Consider the following 27,597-nt stretch of genomic DNA (forward strand, 5'->3'; position numbering starts at 1 on the left):
AAGGCTGCTCATGCCTATGGAAATCGTTTCCAAATTCCTAGTGTGGATAAGAATTTATTTTGCTAAACAACAGAAGCATAAACCCCCAGGAGACTTCAAACAGAAAAACACATAGATGAATTCAATTAATCCAGGAAAAAAAAAAAAAAAAAAGCTGGTTCTTTGAAGTGATCAATGAAATTGATACACCCGTGGCAGGACTGGCTGGGAAAAAAGAGGGCAAAGAAACAAGTTACCAATATCAGGAATGCAAGAAGAGATTTCACTCCAGACCCAGAAAACATAAAAGGGTCAATATGGTAAGAATACACGCAACTCTACAGATTCACATTCCACAGGTCAGAGGAAATGTAGCACATACTTGAAAACCACAAGCTACGGAAACTCACACAGGATGGATTTCAAACACTGAACTGTGTGCACAGTCCTATATGTTTTAAAGAAGTTGAATTCACAGGCAAACACATTTGCAAAAAGATCTCTGGGCCAAGACAGTTTCACTGGCCAAGTCTACCAAACGTTTAATGAAGAAATATCACCAACTTACACAACTTCTTCTAGGAAACAAAGCAGAGGGAATGCGCCCCACTGATTTTATGAGGCCAGCACCACAGGGATACCAAGAAAAGGACAGACCAGTATTCTTTCCTAGTACAGGCACCAAAGTATTCAACAAAACCTTGCAGTTTGAATTGAGCAATATGTGAGAAGAATAATAAGCCACGATCAAGTGGGTTTTATAGCGGGAATGCAAGGGTTGTTCTTCCCACACCTGAAAATCAATCAATGTAACCCACAGATTGAGAGATCAGATGAAGAACAAAAATGACAGGATCACATCAAGCTATGCAGAAAAACCCTTTGATAAGATTCAAAGTCCACTGGTGATATAAAAGCTCTAGCACACTAGGAACACAAGACAACTTCCTCAACCTGAAAAAGGGCGTGTACAGTCAAACCTACAACTAACAAGCCACTTAATGGTCAACGACTGGATGCTTTCTGCCTAAGGATGCGAACCAGGCAAGGACGTCCACTCTCACCACAGCTATTCAACGTCACGCTGAGGCCCAGTCAGTGCTATAATGCCAGAAGAATCACGGCACACACCGGAGAAAGCAAGAAACCAAAGTACTCCTTTTCATGGGTCCTGTGATCGTCTACATGAAACAACCAGTGTATCTCCCCCAGACTCTCAGAGCTAATAAGAGCTTAGTGCTCATTAATGAGAGCTTAGCAGCAATACAGGAGAGAAACTCAACACACGGAAAACAATCCTATGCGTAACTGGAAACCTAAATTTAAGAAATAATACTGTTTTACAAAAGCTACAAACACAATGCAATGGTTATGTATAAAGCTAAAATACGTGGACGGGGTCTGTATGCCCAAAACTATTAAACGGTAATGAAAAAATCAAAGAAGATTTAGTTAAATGGAGAGAAACAATGTGTTCCCATATTTAAAGACCCAAAAAAGTTAACAGTCCATTGTCCCCAACTTGATCTGTAGAATGAATGCAGTGCCTGCCAATCAGAATCCTTGAGGGACATTTGCATGCATAAACAAGCAGATTCTACAATTCACGTGGAATATCTGATGTTTCAAAAAGCAGAAGGTATTTTAGAGAGATGATATTATCAGATTTTCAGATTTGCTCTAAAGCTGTAATAATCGAGATTGCTGGCTTACAGGGGTAGACGAGTAGATCCATGGAATAAAATAGAGTCCATGAATCCATCCATAGAAATGTGTCCAGTGAGTTTTGACATGGGTGTGAGAGGGAATCCAATGGAGAAGGGATAAGCTTTTCAATACATGAGGTGGCCTATCCTTACGCAAAAAGATGCACCTCAACCTCAACCTTTACACGCAATTAAGGAAAAAGGGTTCAGAGACCTACACGCCAAAGTTCAATACTATGACTTTTGGTAGAAACCGTAGGAGGACATCTTTGTGAGGGGAGGCTAGGACATGACCTGAGATGCATGATCCATGGAAAGGAAAGATGGATGGATAGGAGTTTGGCAAAATTTAAAACTCTGGCTCTGGCCGGGCGTGGTGGCTCCTGCCTGTAATCCCAACACTTCGGGAGGCCAAGGTGGGCAGATCACTAGAGTTCAGTTGTTCGAGACCAGCCTGGCCAACATGGTGAAACCCTGTCTCTACCAAAAAATACAAAAATTACCTGGCATGGTGGGACATACCTGTAGTCCCCAGCTACTGGGGAGGCTGAGGCAGGAGAATTGCTCGACCCAGGAGGCAGAGGCTGCAGTGAGCCGAGATCGAGCCACTGCCCTCCAGTCTGGGCGACATAGCGAGCCCCTGTCTCTAAATAAATAAATAGAACAGAATAGAACAGAATAGAATAGGATAGATAGAATAGAATAGGATACGATACGATACTATACGATAATATACGATACGATACGATACAATACAATACAATACAACACAATACAACACAATACAATACAACACAACTTTGGCTGTGTAAGAGCCAGTGTGTTCAGAGAATGAAAATCAAAGCTGCACCACTAGGAGGAAATGTTTGAGAATCACCAACCTGACAGATCTTATATCCAAAACACATGGCGCGTTTTCAAAACTCCACAATAAGAAAATCAACACCCCAACTAGAAAATGGGGGAAAGACTTGAATGGGAGCGCAAGAAACCATATTTAACATCATTCAGCATTAGGGGAATGCAAATTAACACCATGGAGACTGGCAAGGCCAAGCGAGAACATGTTGGGTGACTGGAACTCTCACACTTTGCAGCTGGGAGGGCGAAATAGCACAGCAACTTTGAGAAGCAGTTTGGCAGTTTCTTGTAAGTCAAACAGATGTTTACCATAGGACCCAGCCATCCCACTCCTGGGTATCTACCCTAGAGAAATGAAAACTTAGGTTCACAAAAAAGCCCGCACTGAATTGTAAAAGCAGCTCGATGCGAAACTGCCCCACACTGGACAGAGGAAAATGTCATTCAGTAGAAGGATGGCTGAACACCTGTGGTCTTCCACACCGTGAAACTGCCTTCATGAAAAAACAACAGCCTGTGACAGAGGCATCTGACACTCATCCGAGATGTTCATCGGGCCAAAAGAAGGAAGCCCGCCTCACAAGGCCACAAACTGTATGGTGTCATTGACATAACACTCTCCCCAAGACAAAACTAGAGGGAAGGAAACAGATCACTTTACACCAGGGATGATGGATGAAGAAGGGGTAACCGCAATGGGGCAGTTCCAGGGAGTGTCCTGCGGTGATGGGACTGTTCTGGATCCCGACTGTGGTGGTGGTGACAAGAATGTATGCCCGTGTCAAAGCTCACAGAACTGTACTCCTGAGGGAAAAAAGTCAATCTTGCTGTAGGTTAAGTGGAAAAACCCAACGGCATATTTTGCGATAAGGGTATCTCTCTGTACTGTTTTGATAAATACATCTTGGATGAGTGCAACCAAAAATTGACATTAAATGCTAAATGGAAACTTTAGATCAGCCTCCCAGGCTCTATTCTTTTGACAAACGTGGAAACCAAGAATTCACTAGTTTTCTTCAGAGGATACTGGTCCTCTGAATGTTTATTCACCAAATCGTGGCTATCAGCCCACACTGGGGCAAGAAAGACAGAACCGTAACAGGAACAGTTTGAATATGTACTGAACACAAACATATATAAACACACACACACACACATCCCAGAAAGAGTTCTTAACTTTTCAGAAATTGCAATCTATCTTTCCTACGAGTTAGTTCCCTGACATCCTTTGGGCCACCACTATCTGACACAAACAGTTAATGTGTGAAACGTTTGGAAAATGATCTTAACCCAATTATCTCCCAGCCAATTCTCATGTGTCACAAGGACTCTCTCAGGATCTATTTCTACATGTAGAAAGCCAATTCTCAGAGAGAGAAAAGACCTTACGACCCCCACCCCCCACGTTTCTTTTGCTGTTTTGTTTGTTTGTTTGAGGCAGGGACTCGCTCTGTTACCTAGTCTGGTGTGCAGTGGCAAAACCTCGGCTCATTGAAACCTCTGCTTCCTGGGCTCAAGGGATCCTCCAGTCTCAGACGCCTGAGCAGCTTGCACTACAGGCGTGAGCCACCATGCCCGGCTAATTTTTGTATTTTTTGTAGAGACGGGGTTTTGCCATGTTGCCTAGGCTGGTCTGGAACTCCTGAGCTCCACATGATCTGCATGCCTCAGCCTCCCAGAGTGCTGGGATTATAGGCGTGAGCCACTGTTCCCAGCCAGAAACACTTTTATGAGAAGAAATGTGAGCCGGGTGTGGTGGCTCATGCCTGCAATCCCAGCACTTTGGAAGGCCGAGGCAGGCAGATCACCTGAGGTCAGGGGTTTGAGACCAGCCTGGCCAACATGGCGAAACGCCATCTCTACGGAAAATACAAAAAAATTAGCTGGGTGTGGTGGTGGGCACCTGTAATCCCAGGTAATAGAGAGGTTGAGGCAGGAGAATCACTTGAACCCAGGAGGCGGAGGTTGCAGTAAGCCGAGATTGCACCACTGCACTCCAGTCTGGGCAACGGAGCAAGACTCTGTCTCAAAAAAAAAAAAAAAAAAAAAAAAAAAAAGAAAAAGAAAAAAAAGAAATAGGAAGATTCTGGAGACATCAACTGACAACCGGCCTGCATAGTCATCGCTCTCTTTTCTCTCTTTCTCCCTCCAGCAATTTTGTGAAATGAAACATTTTACCGTCCTATGTGTAGGTTCATCCAGAGATTCTCAAACCACACCCATGGAGTTGCTCATGATCCCTGACAGAGGCATTAAGGACAGTGAGGCCTAGAGAAGTCCGTTGTGTGTGCGGAGGGGAGCAGCTGCAGCAATACATGTGACTTCCCTTCCTTCATCATCTCACCAATGTCATTTCTTCAACAGGCACTTGCCCCCAGGTAAAAGACCTTGTATCAAAAATCTCTGCATGAAACACCACAGCCTCAAGTTTCCTGCATCATGTCATGCAGCTACCGAAGAGAGAGAAGGACTACTGGAGACAGGGAACCCAGACAGTTTACCGGTCAGACCTTCAGCATGAGAGGTGATGTCTCTGGGTACCAATCCCTCACTGTGATGGTTTTATCGGTCAACTCGGCCAGGCTTGGTGCCTGGTCCCTTTTGGTCAAATGCTACTCTAGTTGTTGCTGGGAAGGTATTTGTGGACATGATTAACATTTACAATCACGCTGGGCACAGTGGCTCACGCCTGTAATCCCTGCTTCGGGAGGCTGAGGCGGGTGGATCACTTGAGGTCAGCAGTTCGAGAGCAGCCTGGCCACCGGGGTGAAACCCCATCTCTACTAAAAATAAAAATTAGCCGGGTATAGTGATGGGTGCCTGTAGTTTGGGACTGCCATGGCCCTTGGCAAGACTTTCACCTCTCATTCACCCTGCATGACTCAGCTGAGATAGCACTTCTCCCAGGAAGCCTTCTCCAAGCTCCTAAAACGCCCTGTATTTCCCCTGTCCCAGCCCCAATCCCACTCAGCTGTCAACAGATGGTTATTTCTCTGTCAACCCACTAGCCCAGGAGCTGACAGAGGCCAGGGACTTTGTCTTGTTCACCCATCACAGAGCCTTGAGCCCAGTGGACATTCACAAATATCTATCAAATGAAACAAGAAGGATGTGGGGCCCGTGATAAACATCTCACTGAGAATGTCAAGTCAACCCTGCAGAATCCATATTTTCCCACGTTGCAAAGGCAGAAATTCCTGCATGGAGAGGTCAAGTAACTTCCCTCAGATCACACAACCACTCAGGGACAGAATTCCCTCCCAGGTCTCCCTGACTGCAGATGAACACACCCCTGGTGGCATTGCCTCTCTGGGTGTTCAGCCTCCCCTGATACCTAAGCGAGAAAGTAATCCTGAGGGAAGAGTTCAGACAGCAGAGTCCTAGGGGCTGACCCGCATGTCCACAGCTGCCCGGGGATCGGGTGCAATGCTGCGAATCCTTACCGTCACTTCCTCCTGGCCAGTTCTGTTCCCATGCCAGAAATGCTGCACCAAACGCACCTCTCACACTCCCCACTCTCATTCGCTTCAATTCTCCTGTGCGGAAGGAGAAAGAGAACAGCTAAGCAAGTGAATCCAGACGACACCCTGCAGATGAGCGCCAGGAAGAGCTTTGTGTTTCTTTTCAAAATTAAGCCAGTCCCATGTGATGCTTTTTTCAATCTTCCACAATAATATGAGATAATAAAATGCATTTATTTCAGTTTAAAGATACAGATTTCATTTAATAATCCCAATTAAATATGGACTTTTTTTTTTTTTTTTGAGACAGTCTCACTGTGTCGCCCAGGCTGGAGTGCAGTGGCATGATCTCAGCTCACTGCAACCTCCGTCTCCTGGTTTAAAGCAATTCTCCTGCCTCAGCCTCCGGAGTAGCTGGGATTACAAGCACCCGCCACCACACCCGGCTCACATTTGTATTTTTAGTAGAGACAGGGTTTCACCACGGTGGCCAGGCTGGCCGCGAACTCCTGACCTTGTGATCTGCCCACGTCGGCTTCCCAAAGTGCTGAGATTACAGGCGTGAGCCACCACGCCCGGCCACATGGACTTTTTTCTAGAAGTGGCAAAATCCTACAGCAAAATGTCTAAGGTCTGTGCAAGTTCTCTGGGTGCTGAAAACCGTGCTCCTAGTCTTGTGCCATGTCATGGCAAAGGAATCTAACTCCTAGCCACGCAACGCCACACAGATTGAGGAAAGAGTCTGTCCTACACATGACTTGCAGATGTTCTACATTTTTGATGCCTACACAGATCATCTCTATCCTACTGGGTCTGGAGCGGAAGAGATACAATTTTTAGCAGCTTTGTAACAAAAGAACAGGTAGTCAGTAAAGCCAGCAATGCCCACTTTCAAGAAAGAAAGAAGAAAATGAAGACAGCAGTGAAGCGTGGTGCTGGCATCAGGGGTCTCCCAGCAGGTGAGTACACAGAAAAGCAGCGGGAGTACAACCGGGAGTCCGGGGAGGGAACAGGGGAGGGACCAAGAAGAGTGGCCAGAGCAGCAAGAGGAAGACAAGGAGCAAGTCCGCTCTGGCGAGAATGGAGCTTGCCTAGACTCACCCAAGGCAGTCAGGTCGCTGGGTTCACAAGGTCGATGCTGTGGGTGTAGGCCGAGTGACTGCTACACCTTTCACCTACAAAAGAAAATAACCTCACTGGCCAGGTCACATTCCTCCAGGTATTTACTGAGGGCCCACTCCATTCAGCGGTGCCTTCGGTGAATTATCCAATGCAGCCCCATCCCAAGGACGTGTCTTAATCTGAGGAATAAAATATTGTCCAAGGAGCCAGGAATGGTGGCTCACGCCTCTAATCCAAGCACTTTGGGAGGCTGAGGTGGGAGGACTGCTTCAGCCCAGGAGTTTGAGGCCAGCCTGAGCAACAGGGCGAGACCACCATCTCAACAAAAAACTTAAAAAATTAGCCAGGCATGATGCTGCACAGCTATGGTCCCAGCTACTGGGGAGGCTGAGGTGGGACGATCACTTGAACTCAGGAGGTTGAGGCCAGTGCAGTCCAACCTGGGTGACAGGGTGAGTCCATCTGAAATCACAAAACAAAACAAAAAGACAACTATGGCAGGCATGAGACGGGGGTACTTCTGACACAGAGGAAGTCAAAATCACCATAGCCCAGGTGGTCAGGAACAGCTTCTCCCAGGGCATGCTATGATATATATTCTCATCCCCAGTTGCAGATGAGGTAACAGGATCAGAGAGGTTAAGCAACTCACTCAAGGTCACACATCTAGGGAGTGGTGGTGACCATTTCTCACTGAGGTCTGCTGAAATACAAAAGTCACTCCACCATTTGTGACACCAATCTCTCTTTATATTGTCACCCGTTTTAATTCGCATTCATAGACGTATACTTACCTGTGGCTCTCCTTAGTTTCATATTCTCATAAGCGGCTACACACGGTATAGATTTCGTCTTAGCACATCAGGCCTTTCCCTTAAAGAACCTGAATTTCCCGTGCCCGGCACGACTGCCCAGCCCAGAACTGAACACTTATCTCAAATTAATCTTCCAACCACACACCAAGGAAAGAAAATGGATTACTGCCACGTAGAGATTTAATTTGGGTATTTCACGAATTCTGAACTACGATTTGAAATGTAACCACTGTCCAACCAGAAACAGTAAAAACAAAGTGCTTCCCTATGAAAAGTATTCACAGGACATTTTATTAAATGCCAAAGCATTCCAGGTAAGACACACTGCCCGTTTTATAGGAAGTTGTTGAGATTCTGCTCCTAAGAATACAGTAGTCCTTTCTCTCTCCACTGCTAGTGCCCTGATAAGCTCAGCCAACCAAGGCCATTCGCTTTTCCATTTGCAAGCAAACACACCAAACTACCCTCACACCCACGCACAAATCCAACGCACCCAACGGGTCAGTGAGTAGAGGGAAATGGTATTGGAGATGCAGATGGGAATCTGTGGCTACTCAGAGCACCACATTTCTGATGGCGGAGAGGGCTACCGCCCAGGGTCGCCTGTACTCCAGCAAGGTGGACGGCGGAGAGGCCCTCCCTCTCTAAACATGAGACCCTGCAGCTTGTGCGGCTACTGGACACAAATGGCCTGGACCATTCATTGCGCACGAATGCAGCAATCACACCGCCCATTAAACGCATGTCTAGTCGTATTTCACATTACGACCGTCCCTCTGTCACACGTCGGAGAAAGGGTTTGTCGGACGGTTTGTTTCAATAGGGGCAATGCAGTCCTCCTTGAAAACCCTCCAGTCACTGTCTCCTGCTGTGCGATGGGAGAGGAGGTGGGGAGGGAGGTGATGCCAAGGACACGGTGATTTCTGAACCCGCTGAACACTGATCCTAGCCCAAGTGTAGTCCCGCCGGCTACCAATGCCCGCGGCATCCTCTTTCTCCGCTGAAAAAGGCCACCCCCAAGTAGGGAACGAGAACAACGCCACCCCCAGAGTGCACGACCGCCATTCCCACACCGGGGAGATATGGACGACGTGGAAAATCACCCGCTTCCTTCGAAAGCCCCACTCCCGGCCAGCCCAACCCAGGGATTCGAGTCCCAAGACACCCTGGCCTGTGCTAGGGACAGCCTCCGTCTCGGCCTCTCGCTCTGTCTCTCTGGAAGTCTCTCTCCCACCCCCCCGCTCTCAGTCTCTCCCGCGCGCTCGCTCGCTCTCCGTCTCTCTCGGGCTCTCTCACGCGCGTTCTCGCTCCGGAGCCGGTTCCCGCCGTCCAAGCGCCAACGCGGCGCCTCGTTTCCTCTGCCCTGGAAACGCAGCGCCGCCCGCTCGTAATTGAAGGGTTAAGACCATCGAGAGGAGCCGCCCTCCGGCGGGCTAGAGGCGCCGCAGCGCGGAAGGGGGCGCCGGCGAGGATGTGCTCACGTCACAGGGATGCGACGCCGCTGAGAAACTGAACCTTTGATTGGCTGCCGCGGACCGCCGGAGCCGGAAGACGGAGCGGTTGGGTGGCTTCTCGCGACCCACGCCGCTCGGGTGGACTGCGAGGGGAGAAGGCGTGGAGGTCATCCCTTCCGGAGGTGCGCCGCGGCGTTCCCGGAGCGGCTTCTCTGAAGCGTGGCTTGTGGACTGCCGAATGCTTCCGGAGGCCATGGGAAGACACTCCCTGTAGCGGACGTGACTTCCCGGGCGAGGGACGTGGGAACTGGGCTGGAGGGTTGGGAGGCGGCCGACTTCTCCTGTGATTGGCTGGAGTTTTGAGCTAGGGCGCGCCGCTGAGAACCGACACGTGCTGTTTCATTTTTTTTTTTTTTTTTTTTTTTTTTTTTACTGTTTTTGCATGAATGATAAATGCACCTTGGTAAAGACAGAAACCAAACAATCCAATACATTGAAATTATTCAGGCTACTGCCTTAGGGAGAGCGCCCCAGAAGTGGAAATCACACTGTTGGGGTAACCGGGGCGGGGCGGGGGTGTCTTTTACTTTCATAGGAAGGAGTACACCGGTTTCAGTGGGGAGATTTATGGGGCAGGGTTTTTTGTTTTTTTTTTAATCAGCGGAAGTCTCAGCCAGCTGAACAGGGAATGTTTCTCTCTGTGCCTAGCTACTTTTAGGAGGACAGACTTCCCGTCTAAGTGAATCATTTGTGATACCCTACCTTGTTTTAACCTGAGTGACTCTTTCCTAGCAGAGAGAGCCGGACAGACTCCATTTTAGTTTCTTCACTTGCAGCCCCCTTTATCCCCCTTAAGGGAATAACTAGTGCAAGCTGAGTCCAAGCACATCCAAGAATACACCTGCTGGTAAGATATTGAGGCAGGCTGTACCAACAGCTCGGGAATGTGCTCGGTGGAAGGTACCTAAAAGCCCCTGCATTTATCTCTTAATCATAGTTTAAGCCCCTGCACCTGGAACTGTTTATTTTTTGTAACTGCTTCTATAACCAATTAATTTTTTTTAACTTTTTGCCTATTCTGCTTCTGTAAAATTGCTTCAGCTAAACTCCCCCCTCCCCTGTTTAGACCACGGTATAAAAACAAAACTAGCCCCTTCCTTGGGGCCGAGAGAATTTTGAGCGTTAGCTGCCTGTAGGTCGCCAGCTAATAAAGGTCCCCTTAATTTGTCTCAAAAGTGTGGCGTTTCTCTATAACTCGCTTGGTTACAACACATTCATGAGACAAAAGAACAAGGACTGGTGGTGTCTGCCATCTGGGAGTCACGGCACAGAGTGGGAAGACAGCATCCCTTATCTAAGTCTCATGGAGAATAATTGGTCCTGTGTGGTCAGTGACTTCCCAGAACACGAAAGTGTACAGAGATTTCTTTACCGTGGCGTATTTCAGGAGTCAAGTGACACGCAACAATGTCTGTCCTAGCAGATACATGGATAGTAGATTCCTTTTTAACCCTGGAAGAAGCCGCCTCGTGAACAGCAGTTTATGAAGGAAGGAAACATGAACCATTCTCCCAGAATATTATCATTTCATTTTACAAATGAAGTAACTGAGCCACAAAGAGATTAAGTAACCTCCCCAAAGTCGTACAAGAAATAAATGGTGGAGTCTCGATTTAAATCCAGGTGTCTGTGACTTCATCCCCTTCGTGCTGTGCAGCCATACACTGTCATTTCCAAATCCACACATGTGGCTCGATTCTCTCCCTGGATCTACAGATTTCTTCCGCCAACTGACAACCCCACAGGCCCGTTGCACTCACCTCCCATCCAGCATCCTGGGCAGTGGGAGATGGCTTCCCAGAGAAGAGAGTGTTAGAGATCCTGGGTCCCAAATGCCCTGTCCAGCCCCTGGAGGGAGAGGTGGGCTTCAAGAGGAAGTTTAGAAGATTTAAAGAGAGTTTATTTGTCTGAGGGACAGGCTGATGGGCTATTACAGCACACACGTGATAATAAACACCTGTTACTTTGAATTTATGTATTTACTTATTTGTTTAGTATTGGCAATACATGCCGAATGGTGGTGATACCCAAAGCAGACAGGTAAAATCAAGCCACTGTATGGGCAAGTCGAGACATTCCCATTTTACTTGGGAAGACCTGACAAGAAAATACCACTCTGCAGTATAAAAGGAGAACATTCTCCTAGACTCAACAAATGAAACTAATTAGTTATTTTTTCTAATTATTCTTATTCTCCTATTACAGATGAGGCACGGTAAGCACAGGGAGGTTAGGTCAGCTCTGCGAAGTCTTCAAGTCATAAGTCGTTGAGTCCCATAGCAAGTACTGCTCAGCATGTCCCAAAGTGAACGCACCCATCCCCACTCAGCACGCCTGCCCCTCCTCCTGTGCTGCCTGACTCAGTGACAGGCACCACCCTCTACCCAGCAGCTTGGGCCAAAGATCTTGAAAGCCATCCTTGATTGCTGCCTCTTACCACCCCCACAGTTGACCGAGCCTGGCCAGTTAGACCTCCCAAGTTTTTCTAAGTGAGACCTTGACACTGACTCCTCTCCATCACCACAGGAAGTTCCCTAGTCCAGTCACCCTCATCTCCCTCCTCGATGACCACCAACAATTCATAGCTCATCTTGCTGCCAGTCTTGACCCCTTCCCACGCATTCTCTGTCCCAGTGAGTGGGGCACCTTTCTTGACTGCTAATCTGGTCATGTCAAACCTTTTCAAATTCTACTAGGGCTGCCTGCTGCCCTTAGGATAAAGTCCAGCCTCCTGGATTAGGGGTATCAGGCCCCAGCTACTACCAGGCCTCTCTCTGTCTAGCGTGCACGCTCGCTCTCTCGCTGTCTCTCTCTCGTGTCTGCCGCCTCACAACCGCCCTTCCCTCTGTCTGGCCTGCACTTGCTCCATCAACCGCTGCCTGATTGCTCCTTACCTTCAGCTCTCAAGTGAAGGAGAGCAAATTATACTTTACCTAGGGAGCAACTGGATGAAAAGGCATGCTTAGTGGGTTTGATATTTTTACTGAATAGCACATGATGGAGATTCATGAAAATTCCCCCAATGGGCCAACCAACTGGAATGTCACGTGAGAGTAGGGTTTTTAGGAAAAGTTTACTTGCAAAAATAGGATGCAGGAAGGTAACTGAGGAAGGTGACAGGTTCATTTGCCTGACTGTAGCAATTATTTCACTGTGTGTGTGTGTGTGTGTGTGTATAACAACATGTTTTATACCTTAAATATATACAATAAAACATAATAATAAAGATACACAACATAGATCTCTCCTTCATTCCTATAGACTCATCATGTGTGAACATGGAGTTTGGAACTGTGGCCCCAGGTTCAGTACCATGAAGTGATGTGGGCTGAGGACCTGCCTCACAGCTGGTTCTTCCTGCCATAGAGTGAACTGTGAGGCTTCGCTTCATTCACTACAGCCTGTTATTTCAGCTCCTAGCATTGCACACCTGAATATGAATGGAAGTGTCTGCTTTGGACATATGGACAATAAAAGAGAAAAGATGGAAATGGCCCTGGTCCTGCCACCATCAGCCCAAGCCCAAACCCTGGCTGGAGGGTAGACTGGACTCCCACTGTCCTGGCACGCTGGCCTGCACACTGATGTGCCTCTAACATGGCACAGTGTGAATGGCTCTCTCTCCCTGGAGCCTGGTTGTTGAGGACCTACTGTGTGCTACTCATGTACAGTGTTGATTTCCCAAAGACCCAGAGAGGTAAGTATCAAACTCCCATCTACAGATAAGGAACCAAGCTGAAAGAGGTCAGGGCACTGAGGCAGAAAAGGCTGGATCTGGGACTCACACGCGGGTTCTGTCAGACTCCAAAGCCAGGCCTCTTTAAACTCACGACAACGTACTTTGCTTATGCTCCCCATGCTGAGCTGCAGATATTATTCTGTGATGGGACAGTCAGCTTGGTCCTAACACGACGTCCCCCTGTGAGATCCAGGCCCCTGGCAGGGCAAAGCCACCCTGAAAAGTTCTAACACAGTCCACAGGAGCTGCCCTGGCGTCCCTTGCCTCACAGCTACCAGTCGAGTTTAGCTTCTGCGCCTCCACCGGGAGGCGCTTTGCCCTATCACAGAGACACTTGCAATCCACCCCTGCCCTAAATTACATCTCCATCAGCCTCACTTTATTTAACAGATAAGAAGAATCTAGAGGCAAACAGAGCAGAGGCAGCGTTAGCGGCTGCAACACAGCTGTGGAGTTGATCAGACTCCAAATGTGGTGTGGAAATCAACAGACTGAGAATGGGAATCTAGTTCCTCTTGTTCTTCGGCTCTCTGGACTGTAAGCTGTGCAGAATCAAAGTGCCTGCCGCACAAACCTCCCCTCTTCTGAAGAGTCTGCCCTGACCCAACCCTTGCACACACACATCCCTCAGGTGAGGGTAGGGTGGTCTCCTGTGTACTCCTAGGGGACCGTGGGTTGAATTCTGCCATGGCTCTCCTTACCCCCCAAGTGTGGGGGTCATCTGCCAGCAAGGATACAGCCGAAACCTCCCCCTGTCCCCAGAGTGTCCGGTCAGCACTTCAGAACAAGTTTATTCAGTTAATAAAGGAATTTCACCCAGAGTACTTGGTCAGTAATGGCTATGATGGTAGCAGCTCTGTGTGCCTTAGAAATGCTCCAGGAGAATCGAGTGAACAGAGGACATCTGTGCAATGAGATTCTCCTCCCCTGGAGTTCGGGAGGAGGGTTGTACCTTTCCTCTCTTCCCTAATTCCAGAACTCCTAGTAAAAGAGGCTACAAAATTATTTGTTTATTTTAGATAGAGACTAGCTCTGTCACCCAGGCTGGAGTGCAGTGGCACAATCTCAGCTCACTGCATCCTCCACCTCCTGGGATCAAGTGATTCTTGTGCCTCAGCCACCCAAGTAGCTGGGATTACAGGTGTGCGTCACTGCACCCGGGATTATTTTTTTTTTTGGATTTTTAGTAGAAATGGGGCTTCACCATATTGGCCAGGCTGTTCTTGAACTCCTGACCTCAAGTGATCTGCCTGCCTTGCCCTCCCCAAGTCCTGGGATTACAGGTGTGAGCCACCGCACCCTGCCAGAATTTTTAAATATGTCTTGGCCAGTATGTTACTCCATGTGGCCTCCCAGTGGGACTGCAGTGCCAAAATGTCAGAGTACCCTAGGGCAAGTGCATGTGGGCCTCCCCCAGGGTCTGTAGGGAAAAACGACTATTGATTGGGTTCAGGCGTCCTAATCGAGTATGTGGTTCTGTGGCTGCAACACAGATGTCCACAGTGACAAGGACATGAACACCTGGATGAACGCGTCTGTCAAGTCTGGGTGGGCTGCATCAGTGCCTTTGCCTGTCCTGTCTCTTGCCTAAGCCCTCCTGGTTCTGACTGCTCCTGCCTGGGTCCCTCCTTCACCTGAACTCTGCAGGCTGCACAGACATGCTTTCTGTATCTGTGGCCCTTCATTGTCCCTTTCCGTGTCACTGGCAGAGCAGAAGCTTACCTGGCCTGACAGGATCCCGTCCTTGTCACCGTGGCACCTCCAGCCTTCTGTTCAGCTTCCTGCTGGTGTGCTAGTGTCCTTGTGGCATCTGCGCCATGTTGGAACGACTCAGCCTCTGACTTTTTTCCAACTGCTCCCTCTGTCTGGAAGGCCTTCACCACAGATATCTGCTTGACTGACTCCTCCCCCTTCACATCTTTGTCAAATTGTCACCTTCTCAACCCAGCCTACCCTAGTCACTCTGTTATAATTTACCTGCAGCTAACCCAGTGCCTCCCCCAATTCCCAATCCCTGTACTGTGATCTGTATATTTTTTCTTTTTAACACAGCCCCCATCATCTTTGTAAACTAAAAATAAAATTCTAAGCCCCACTCCCCAACCATCTGAATGGACCCTTCCTCTCGGCCAAAGCTTTTCCAAAGTTAGCCTGAAAAAGTAGTTCAGGCCATGATGGGAAGGGTGGGTCAGACATGCGTCATTACACCCTTCTCCCTATGGAATTCAGGCACAACTGACCAGCATTTATGTTAAGGGAGAGATCTTAAGACTGTGGCAATAAGACACCAAGTTCCAGCCTGACTAGTATAGCATCACATAACAAATAGGCCCTGAAAGAAGTCAAAGTGTTTCATCCAACAATACATTTCTTTGACACATTTTGAAATAGGCCTACAAAGCCATCTCTTGTGAGGAAGTCTACATTCTGTAGAGAATCCCTTTCCCTTTCCAGGTCTTTTTCCTGGTCTAGGAGAGAATTAGTTCCCAAGAGTCCAGCAACTTTTAAGGTCTGATAAGAAATATTTACAGTCTATTCTCTCTGAAGCCGGCTGCCTCGGGACTTCATTGGCATAATAAGAACCTTGATCTCCACAACCCCTTATCTTAACCCAGACACTCCCTCCTATGGATTGGAGGTCTTTAGATAAACTCAAGCAATTGCCAATCAGAAAATCTTTGAATCCACTTATGACCTGTAAGACCCCACCGCCCCTCCACCGCCCGCCAACTTGTAGTTGTCCCGCCTTTTCAGAAGGAATCAATGTATGTCGTACATGCATTGATTGATGTCTTATGTCTCCCTAAAGTGTATAAAGCGAAGCTGTACCCTGACGACCTTGGGGATGTTTCGTCAGGACCTCCTGAGGTTGTGTCAGGGGCACGTCCTTAACCTTGGCAAAATAAACTTCTAAATTGATTGAGACCTGTCTCGGGTACGTTTTGGTTCATAACTTCTAACGTTTCCTAGATTCCCTTGTGGAGGGTTTGCTGTCTGCCACCTACCACGTCCTCTTCGGGGAATGTCAGATCCAGGGCAGGGATTTCTGTTGATTTGCTTCCCTGAGGTATCCCTACACCTCAAGCAGTGCCTGGCACGTAGAAGACTTTCATACATATTTGTTGCCTGAAGGAACACATATGCCTCCCCCACTAGACTGTGAGACCATTCAGGGTCTCGTTCTCCCCTGTATGATGGAGCCCTCTATGCATGCTTGTGTCATGGTGCAAAGAGCCTCACAAAATAACAGAATTAAACCGTGCATGTCTTAGAGATGGAGGAGATACTCTGGAGGTAGTTTCTACTTTCTTCAGCCCAACACACATTTCTCTTGAATGGTCTGTGCCCATTACTCCTACATTTCAGCTGAGACGGTCTCGGGCCCACACCTCCCCCTGACCACAGATGGCATCTACCTGTGTCCCCTCCCTTCCCTAGCCCCGAATTCTGCATTCAGAAGCACCGTGCGTTTGCAGGAAAGGGCTGAGATGCCGCTCTGTAGATCCTCATCATGTAAAGGTGAAGTTAAGGTTTGGGAAGATGATCCAAACAGCTAGAGACTCCTGCCATCCCACCAGGGCACAGGGGATCCCGGGTTTGATGCATGTGTTCTGGGAGAGCTGCAAGAGGGATGTTGTGTCCAGGTTATTTTCTGGGTGTCAGTGACATCTTGCAGGAGACAGACCACACGACCCAGGAACACATGGGCAGGTCCTGTTCATCGCTGAGAGAGAGGGTCCCTGCTCTGTGTCTTTTATCAGAGACACAGAAGAAACTCCTCCGCACAGTGAGATCTCCACAAGTGGTGCTGAGGGGGACCTGTGACTCTCAAAGCAGTCGCATGACTCCAACCCCAGGGGCAGCTGTGAAGGAAGCTGGCCGTGTAAACTCAGGGGTCTAGATAAGTAAGCGTGGCTGTGGCAGGCTGGAGTGGACGAGTCTGGGAAAGTCAACTCAAGACAACCTCTCACTGACTGTACAGGGTGAGACCCAAATATCAGGAGAAGGTCACAAACAACTCATGTCTGAACTTTGCTATGTGACAGTGTCTCTCATGCTTGAGATGATCTCCCAAAGAGCTCAGACGTTTCAATCCCTGGAACACGGAACCAAAGACAGAACAGGCCTCCCTCCAAAACATACATCTCCTACCAGCTCTGAAACGTCCTATCCTGGACACACACACTCTCAGATACCTCAGGGACCTCACAGGCTGGGTCACAAAGCCCAAGAGACCCCAGTGACATAGAAAACCCAGACAACAACCCAGGAACAAGCAGCTCAGAGACCTCAACCCTGGACACACAACACTGAACAGTTCGCAGAACTCAGACCCCTCCAAGAACTCAGTGAAGGAGGACACAGACACTAAACCTGCTCAGAGACATCAGATTCTAAAATTCAGACCCACGTGCGTGTGAGCAACTTTAGAACCTGTGATGTAGAAAACGGATTACCTCACGGACCTCACAGCCCGGACCCAGAAGCCCACAAAACCACAGTGCGCACACCCTGAGATGCGGACACAGAAACAGTTGAGGGGACCGGGACAGGGAACACAGAGGCCTTGGGCACAATGTTCCCTGCAACAAACACCTAGGAGACCTCAGAGTGTGGGACACACCATTCCCACACAGCACAGAGTTTACAACCTGAGACACAGCAACTCCTCAACATGTCAGCAGCCTCAACCCCTGCGGTGCAGACTCATAACCGGGTAGGGAGGACACACTCAGGACGCAGGACCCCAAAAGGATCAGACACCTTTCGTGAGTTTGGAATAACCTCAGTGTTCTCACAACCTAGGATATGGAGCCCCAAGGGGCGCTATTGTGTCCTATCATTGACACAGACACTCGGGAGAGCTCAAACCCTACTTCCTGAAATCAGAACTGCTCCCATGCCTTGCATTCTAGACACAATACCTAAAGCAGATCAGACACCTCACATGCTGGGAGAGAACCCTGATCAGCCCAGAGGACTGTCACCCCAGACACAAGCCCTCCACAGCTCAGAGACCTGCCGACCTGGGACGCTACCCTCCAAATTGGTCAGAGGCCTCAGAATCTGGGCACAGAGCCTGAAAAAGCTCAGCAGAATGACATCTTGCGTTGGAGACACCTAAAAAGTCACTTGGTACAGGACACGTGTCAGATGCAGTCACAGCAAGAGATCACCCAGGCTCATGAGGCAGACATGGAGACACAGGGAGACAGAGACAGACAGAGTCAAAGGGAGCAATGAGGTGGGGGAGGGATTGAGGATTAGGGAGAGCATTTCTGGACACCTTCTGTCCTCACGGAGTTAGCCTCGATCTCAGGACCCGGGCCCAGGCAGCCGAGTAACCTTTTGTTTTCCAGGCGAAGGGAGACCCCGGTTTCTGCCCTCAGAGGCTGTTTCTGGGCCTAGGCCACATCCAGGAGGGCAGGAGCTGGCCCAGGCACACAGGGGAGCCCTTTACCCATCAAAATGGGGATCCATTCTAGGTTTGGAGGGTTCATGCCATCATGAGGTGGAACCCTGTGCCCCTAAGGCCCCAGCTGCCCTCCTGCTGAGGTGCTGCTGTCCTGGTGTGGGGAAGGGGTGTCTCTGCCCCGGTGGAATAAGAGCATGAACCTGTGCTGCTTACGAAAGTGCTGGAAGCTTCCCCCAACCTTGGGACTGCTTGTCCACACCCTCTTCATCCGCCCTGAGCAAGTCTGCTTCAGCCTCCTGGGCAAGTGCACTCAGGAGGCACGGCGGCCACCTGGCTTCTCTCTGCCCTCTGTGGCCCTGAACAGAAGGGCACCTGCAGATCTTTCGCAAGGGAGTGAAGCAGAGGCAGCTAAAGTGGAGCCTGAAGTAGCTGGCCGTGCTGTGCTGAGGATCCGTGGCACAGACCAAGAGCTGACACTGAGGGGTGCTGCTGTCCCTCCCCAGTTATCCTCCCTGTGCCATGAGAGACCCGTCCCCCCGACCCCACTCCCTACCTCTAAATGCCTGATTCTGCTTTACAAGAGACAGCACACGAGGGTATCCATGCTTCTTGCAGGGCTTTGTGCAAACGGAAGGAGCCCAGACATCTCCCTGCCCCATCTCCTCTAGACCAGCCCTAGGGCAGGGCTATTTGCTCATGGATGAAAACAGCTGTAAGGCTGTGGAATTCGGGGACTGAGGCCCAGGTGGGCCTGGCCGGTAGGCCTGATCCTCCTGGCGGACACACTCAGTGGCCCATCTCTGATTCCCTGGTGGACGTGCACTCCCGCAGGACCACAGGAGCCCAGTGTCGCATCTTCAGCATTTCCTCCAGCGCTCTGAACACAGTCCGGGCTTAATCAATGCCTGGTGGGATGCTCTCTGACTGAAGAACCCAGCTCTTAGCTACGCTCACCCAAACACCTGTCCCTGCTTAATGCCTAAAATCCCATATTTAGGCTGGGCACGATGGCTCACTCCTGTAATCCCAGCTCTTCAGAGGCTGAAGTGGGAGGATCAGTTGAGGCCAGGAGTTCAAGACCAGTCTGGGCAACATAGCGAGACCCTGTCTTTACAAAAAAAAATTAAAAATGAGCTGGGCAGGGTTGTGAGCACCTGGAATCCCAGGTACTCAGGAGGCTGAGGTGGGAGGAAGGTTTGGGCCTGGGAGGTTGAGGCTGCAGTGAGCCTTGATCGCGCCACCGCACTCCAACCTGGGTGACAGAGCACAATCCTGTCTCAAAAAAATATAATTAAAAAAATAAAATCCCGTATTTGTTTATTTACAAAAGATTGAAAAGATTTGCAAACTATTCATTAGACAGGGTGTTAATAACCATGATATACAAGGAAGTCAAACATCTCAACAGCCAAAAAACCCATCCAAGCTCAAATAGGGAAATTATCTGAATAGATGTTTCTCAAAGGAAGACCTACAAATGGCCAAGAAATGTATGAAAAAATGTTCAGCATCGCTAATCATCAGGGAAATGCAAATCAAAACCACAATGAGAGCTGGCTGGGATGGAGCAGGCCTGTAGTCCCAGCTACTTAGGAAGCCAAGGGAGGAGGACTGCTTGAGCTCAGGACTTCAAGACCAGCCTGGGCAACATAGTGAGACCCTGTCTCCAGAAAAGAAAAGAAATAACAGTAAAACCACAATGAGTTATCGTCTCACACAGTTACAATACCTGTTATCAAAAAGACAAAACAAACAAACAAACAAACAAATGCTGGCAATCTCACTCAGCTAGAATGCCTATTCTCAAAAAGACGAAAAATAACAAACACTGGCAAGGATGCAGAGAAAAGGGAACTGTCATACCCTATTGGTGAGAATTTAAACTAGTAGAGACACTATGGAGAACAGAAGGGAGGTTCCTCCAAAAACTACAATAGAACCACCATATGATCCAGCAATCCCACTACTGGGCATTTATTCAAGGGATAGGAAATCAGCATATCAAAGAGACATCTGCACTCCCACATTGATTATAGCACTATGCACAATAGCCATGCTATGGAATCAGTCTAGATGAACGGATGAAGAAAATGTGGTACACGTACACAATGCAATACTTTTCAGCCCTAAAAAGGAATGAAATTCTGTCATTCTGAGCAATCTTGGGTGGAAGTGGAGGACTTTATGTTAAGTGAAATAAGCCAGGAACAGAGACTTAAACACCACATGTTGTCATTCATATGTGGAAGCTAAAAAATGCTAATCTCATAGAAATAAAAAGTAGAACAGAGGATACTAGAGGCTGGAAAGGGTAAGGGGTGGTGGAGATAGAGAGAGATTTGTTAAAGGATACAAAATTACAGTTTGATAGGAGAAGTAAGTTATAGTGTTCCACAGCATTGTGGGATAACTATAATGAACGATAATATATTATATAGGCCGGGCATGGTGGCTCACACCTGTAATCCCAGCACTTAGGGAGACTGAGGCGGGCGGATCATCTGAGGTCAGGAGTTTGAGACCAGCCTGGTCGACATGGCAAAACACCGTCTCTACTAAAAATACAAAAATTAGCCAGGCGTGGTGGTGGTTGCCTGTAATCCCAGCTACTCGGGATCCTGAGACAGGAGAACCGCTTGAGCTTGGGAAGCGGAGGTTGCAGTGAGCTGAGATCGTGCCACTGCACTCCAGCCTGGGTGACAGAGTGAGACTCTGTTTTGAAAAAGTAAACAAATAATATATTATATAGTTTCAAATAGTTAGGAGGACATTGAATATTCCCAACACAAAGAAATGATGAATGTTTGAGACAATCCATATGCTAATTACTCTGCTTTGATCACCATACATCATATGTATGGAAATATCACTACTTGCCCCATGTATATGTACAATTATTATGCCAATTTATCAAATAAAAACAAAGAAGTAATACAATTGATTTTTGCATACTGATATCTTGTACCCTGAATCTGAGGTATTGTGTTATATTGAAAATATCTACAGCTTTTAGACCAATATCCCTGATGAACATTGATGCAAAAATCCTCAGTAAAATACTGGCAAACCGAATCCAGCAGCACATCAAAAAGCTTATCCACCACGATCAAGTGGGCTTCATCCCTGGGATGCAAGGCTGGTTTAACATACGAAAGTCAATAAATGTAATCCAGCATATAAACAGAACCAAACACAAAAACCACATGATTATCTCAATAGATGCAGAAAAGGCCTTTGACAAAATTCAACAGCCTTCATGCTAAAAACTCTCAATAAATTAGGTATTGACGGGACGTATCTCAAAATAATAAGAGCTATTTATGACAAACCCACAGCCAATATCATACTGAATGGGCAAAACCTGGAAGCATTCCCTTTGAAAACTGGCACAAGACAGGGATGCCCTCTCTCACCACTCCTATTCAACATAGTGTCGGAAGTTCTGGCCAGGGCAACCAGGCAGGAGAAAGAAATAAAGGGTATTCAATTAGGAAAAGAGGAAGTCAAATTGTCCCTATTTGCAGATGACATGATTGTATATTTAGAAAACCCCATCGTCTCAGCCCAAAATCTCCTTAAGCTGATAAGCAACATCAGCAAAGTCTCAGGATACAAAAATCAATGTGCAAAAATCACAAGCATTCTTATACACCAATAGCAGACAGACAGAGAGCCAAATCATGAGTGAACTCCCATCCACAATTGCTTCAAAGAGAATAAAATATCTAGGAATCCAACTTACAAGGGATGTGAAGGACCTCTTCAAGGAGAACTACAAACCACTGCTCAACGAAATAAAAGAGGACACAAACAAATGGAAGAACATTCCATGCTCATGGATAGGAAGAGTCAATATCGTGAAAATGGCCATACTGCCCAAGGTAATTTATAGAATCAATGCCATCCCCATCAAGCTACCAATGACTTTCTTCACAGAATTGGAAAAAACTACTTTAAAGTTCATATGGAACCAAAAAAGGGCCTGCATTGCCAAGACAACCCTAAGCCAAAAGAACAAATCTGGAGGCATCACGCTACCTGACTTCAAACTATATATACTACAAGGCTATAGTAACCAAAACAGCATGGTACTGGTACCAAAACAGAGATATAGACCAATGGAACAGAACAGAGCCCTCAGAAATAATACCACACATCTACAACCATCTGATCTTTGACAAACCTGACAAAAACAAGAAATGGGGAAAGGATTCCCTATTGAATAAATGGTGCTGGGAAAACTGGCTAGCCATATGCAGAAAGCTGAAACTGGATCCCTTCCTTACACCTTATACAAAAATTAATTCAAGATGGATTAAAGACTTAAATGTTAGACCTAAAACCATTAAAACCCTAGAAGAAAACCTAGGCAATACCTTTCAGGACATAGGCATGGGCAAGGACTTCATGTCTAAAACACCAAAAGCAATGGCAACAAAAGCCAAAATTGACAAATGGGATCTAATTAAACTCAAGAGCTTCTGCACAGCAAAAGAAACTACCATCAGCGTGAATAGGCAGCCTACAGAATGGGAGAAAATTTTTGCAATCTACTCATCTGACAAAGGGCTAATATCCAGAATCTACAAAGAACTCAAACAAATTTACAAGAAAAAAACAAACAACCCCATCAAAAAGTGGGCAAAGTCTTCTCAAAAGACTTCTCAAAAAGTCTTCTCAAAAGAAGACATTTAGGCAGCCATCAGAGAAATGCAAATCAAAACCACAATGAGATACCATCTCACACCAGTTAGAATGGCAATCATTAAAAAGTCAGGAAACAACAGGTGCTGGAGAGGATGTGGAGAAATAGGAACACTTTTACACTGTTGGTGGGACTGGAAACTAGTTCAACCATTGTGGAAGACAGTGTGGTGATTCCTCAAGGATCTACAACTAGAAATACCATTTGACCCAGCCATCCCATTACTGGGTATATACCCAAAGGATTATAAATCATGCTGCTATAAAGACACATGCACATGTATGTTTATTGCGGCACTATTCACAATAGCAAAGACTTGGAACCAACCAAAATGTCCATCAATGATAGATTGGATTAAGAAAATGTGGCACATATACACCATGGAATACTATGCAGCCATAAAAAAGGATGAGTTCATGTCCTTTGTAGGGACATGGATGAAGCTGGAAACCATCATTCTCCGCAAACTATCACAAGGACAAAAAACCAAACACCGCATGTTCTCACTCATAGGTAGGAATTGAACAATGAGAACACTTGGACACAGGAAGGGGATCATCACACACCGGGGCCTGTCATGGGGTGGGAGGGAGGAGGGAGGGATAGCATTAGGAGATACACCTAATGTAAATGACGAGTTAATGGATGCAGCACACCAACATGGTGCATGTATACCTATGTAACAAACCTGCATGTTGTGCACATGTACCCTAGAACTTAAAGTATAATAAATAAAAATTAAAAAATTAAAAAAAAATAAATTCACATTTATAGCTGCTGCAAAAAAAAAGAGAGAAAATAACTACAGCAACAACACAACTGAAGTCCAGTTCAGCTACTGAAAAGATTGATTCAAACCCCAACACCAATGCTCTGGCAGAAAAAGAAAGGAAGACACACTACATACAGAGGAACAAATTTAAAGTCATCCATCAGACTTCTCATCAGAATCTGTGCAACCCAGAACTTTCTAATCAGCACAATTTTTTTTAATGAATGTGACATAAACATGTTTACACAAACAGGTAAACAAACAAAAATGGGGAGAAAAGTCACTGTCAACAGATTTGTCCTACAAACCATGTTAAAGGAAGTTCTTGGGTCAGAAGGAAAATAGAAGGAAATTTGGATCTACACACAGAACTTCACAGTACTGGACACGGAACAATTGTGGGAAAGTACAAGATTTTATTTTTTGGAGACGGAGTTTCCGTCTGTCGCCCAGGCTGGAGTGCAGTGGCACGATCTCTGCTCACTGCAACCTCCGCCTTCCAGGTTCAAGGGATTCTCCTGCCTCAGCCTCCTAAGTAGCTGTGACTACAGGTGCACGCCGCCACGCCTGGCTAATTTTTTTGTGTTTTAGTAGAGACGGGGTTTCACCATGTTGCCCAGCCTGGTCATGAACTCCTGAGCTCAGGCAAACCACCCACCTCGACCTCCCAAACTGCTGGGATTATAGGCATGAGCCACGGGGCCCGGCTGATTTTTTAAAAACTTTTAAAGTTTCTTATTTAGAAAAAAGGTCTCCCTATGTTGCCCAGGCTTCTCTCAAACCTCTGGGCTCAAGCAATCCTCCTGCCTCAGCCTCCCAAAGTGCCAGGATTACAGGCATGAGCCGCCATGCTCAGTCAAGACTTTTTTCTTGTAGCTAATCTCTTTAAAAGAAAATTGACTGTCAAATAGTAACAATGTATTGTGGGGCTCTGACATAGGTAGACATATAATGTAAGACAACAATAGCAGAAGGCTGGGGAGAAAGGAAATGGAAGTATACAGCTGTAAGAGTCTCACAGTGTACATGAAGTGGTAGGACATTACTTGAAGTCTGGCAGGAATTTTTGCATTTTTTGTGTGGGATCAGTAGATTGACCATTATCCTACAATTTGACATAAACTCCATGAGGGCGGGGATGTGTCTTTTTTTATTGTATGTCCCAGACACTCAGCACAGTACCTAGAACATAGTTGAGGCTTGGCAAATGACTGTTCAACAAATTAAGTTTTTTTTTGAGACAGGGTCTCACTATATTGCCCAGGCTGGAGTGCAGTGCCCTGATCATGGCTCACTGCAACCTCCACCTCCTGGGCAGAGAAAAGTGACTTTATTTCAGACAGCCAGCAAGCCAAGACGATGATGGACTAATGACCTATGGAGCCATCTTAAGGGGCATGAATCTCAAGCTTCTTTTTACAGGCAAGGGAGAATCAGGAAAGGGTGAGGTCAGGAGGAGAATGGTGACCACAGACATCTAGGTGTCAACGGGAGCCCAGGGAGGTTGCAAAACATCTTTGTCCTTGGTCAGGTCACAGTGCTCCCATAAACCTTTCACACAACATTGCTGCTTGTGTGTACACCCTTCTCATCTCCTCGGGGCTGGGTTCCGAAAGGGACTATTATCGTCTTTGCTTTGAAGTTAAACCCTACACTAAATTCCTCCCATAGTTAGCTTGGCCTACGTGCGGGAATGAGCAAAGGCAGTTAGCTCCTCAGGTCAGAAGCAAGACAGAGCAAGCCCTGGTCGATTTCTCTCACTATTTCAGGTGCGCCCTCCCTCTCTGTTAAACACATACACACACACACACACACACACACACACACACACACACACACATTCCCTTGGCACTGATTCAGATCAGTGGGCAGCTTCTGGGAAGCCACCTGACCTGCATTAGGAGGCTGAAGGGCACCAGAACTTTAGCTCGAGGGTGGCCTCAAAGCTTCCCGTGGCCTCAAAGATGCCACGGCATGATGCACAGCCAGGCTGAAGAGCTTTCTGGGTCTGTGGGTGCTAAGAGCCAGGGGCCTTCATAGCTTTATGCGGGCAGTGCCCCCTTGTCACAGCTTTTGGCGAATCTTCAGAATGCTCATCAGTAGGTGCAGTCATTCCCGCACACACCTCAGGCCAGGGCAGCTTCTCACCACAGTAACGGAGCACGCCATTGTCTTAGCAGAAAAACAAACTTAGGAAACAGAAGCTTAGCCACTTGTGCACTAGTAATGTAATAGATCACACTGGCATTCACTCCCCCAATTCCTCTTTCAGGGAATGACCCAACCCAGCCCTGCTCATCCCAAACTAATGACCACAACAACCTATATGTGCCTCTCGCTTTGCACTGATGGCGTCACTGGGGGAGCGTTGAGTCTAACTATTGCACTATGTGTTTTCTCCGTTTCCCTGATCTGAAACTGTAGGCTTCCAGATACCAAGACAGGTGCCCCAGGCCAGTCTCTGAAGTGATGATGCTGCAGGTGGGCCGGGCCTTGACCTCAGCACAGCTCACCAGCAGCAGCGCCTTGCCAGGGCCATGTGCTGCCAAATTGCGCCACTGGAGCCGAAGGAGAGGAAAGGTCTAAGGAGACGTCATAAAGATCTCCATCTCGATAGCACAGCAGCCTCCTCTTATGGACATGCGGGTGTTTTGGTTTCTTTCAACATGTACCCACTGTGGCATTTTTCAGGATGCCTGGGGGTCTTCAGCTAACTTTCCATCCACACCACCCTGCCTCCCCCACTGCCCCTCTCTACCCTACCCCAAACCTTCCTTCTGTTTTAAATGCTGCCCCCGAGGGTCACTGACTGGTTTGCCTCCTGATAAGGATATCAAAACACCTTTTACCCCTAATCCTCAAGATACCTAAAAGAATGAGTCTTCAGAACATCTATTTTAAAAATTATTGGCCAGGTGCGGTGGCTCACGCCTGTAATCCCAGCACTTTGGGAGGCTGAGTCGGGCGGATCATGAGGTCAGGAGTTCGAGACAAACCTGGCCAACATGGTGAAACCTGGTCTCTACTAAAAATACAAAAATTAGCCAGGCATAGTGGTGCATACCTGTAATGCCAGCTACTCGGGAGGCTGAGGCAGGAAAACTGCTTGAACCTGGGAAGCAGAGGTTACAGTGAAACAAGATCGTGCCACTGCACTCCAGCCCGGGCGACAGATCAGGACTCCATCTCAAAAAAAAAAATTATTAGAGAAACAGTGGCTGAGTAATAATAAGGAAGAAAACGCAAGTAAAACAGTGAAAGGAATGTTATTTCAAAATGATTGAGTTTCCCACTTAGAGAGCAACACTTCAAATGTGGTGCATTCCCTTACAGGCTTTTTTCTATGCATGTTTTTTAAAATTATGAGATTGGAGAACAAGTAGTGTGTTTATAATACTGCATCTGTTGTTTTGTTTAATATTATACCAAAGCTATTTCCCATAATGACAGTGACAAGGATGTTGCTGCTAACATCCATGGTAGCAAACACATACAGAAAGCTTGATA

General features: G+C 47.3%; 1 protein-coding gene across 22 annotated transcripts in view; it reads right to left on the reverse strand.

The window, feature by feature from the left end:
* FAM156A (family with sequence similarity 156 member A) overlaps positions 1-27,597 on the reverse strand; it is a 48,219-nt gene that overhangs the window by 1,911 nt on the left and 18,711 nt on the right. For 2 of the 22 annotated variants that reach the window (NM_001242496.2, NM_001242494.2), the window contains exons 2-3: positions 7,109-7,182; positions 5,990-6,082 (exon numbers count right to left, since the gene is read on the reverse strand). The gene's annotated coding sequence lies outside the window, so the exon portion shown is untranslated. Of the gene's footprint in view, positions 1-5,989; positions 6,083-7,108; positions 9,408-14,919; positions 18,627-27,597 lie in introns of those variants that run through there. The other 20 variants (NM_001242497.2, NM_001242495.2, NM_001242493.2 and 17 more) reach the window with 19 other exon arrangements.

This window comes from Homo sapiens, chromosome X (genome assembly GCF_000001405.40).
Source record: "Homo sapiens chromosome X, GRCh38.p14 Primary Assembly".
Classification (NCBI taxonomy): domain Eukaryota; kingdom Metazoa; phylum Chordata; class Mammalia; order Primates; family Hominidae; genus Homo; species Homo sapiens.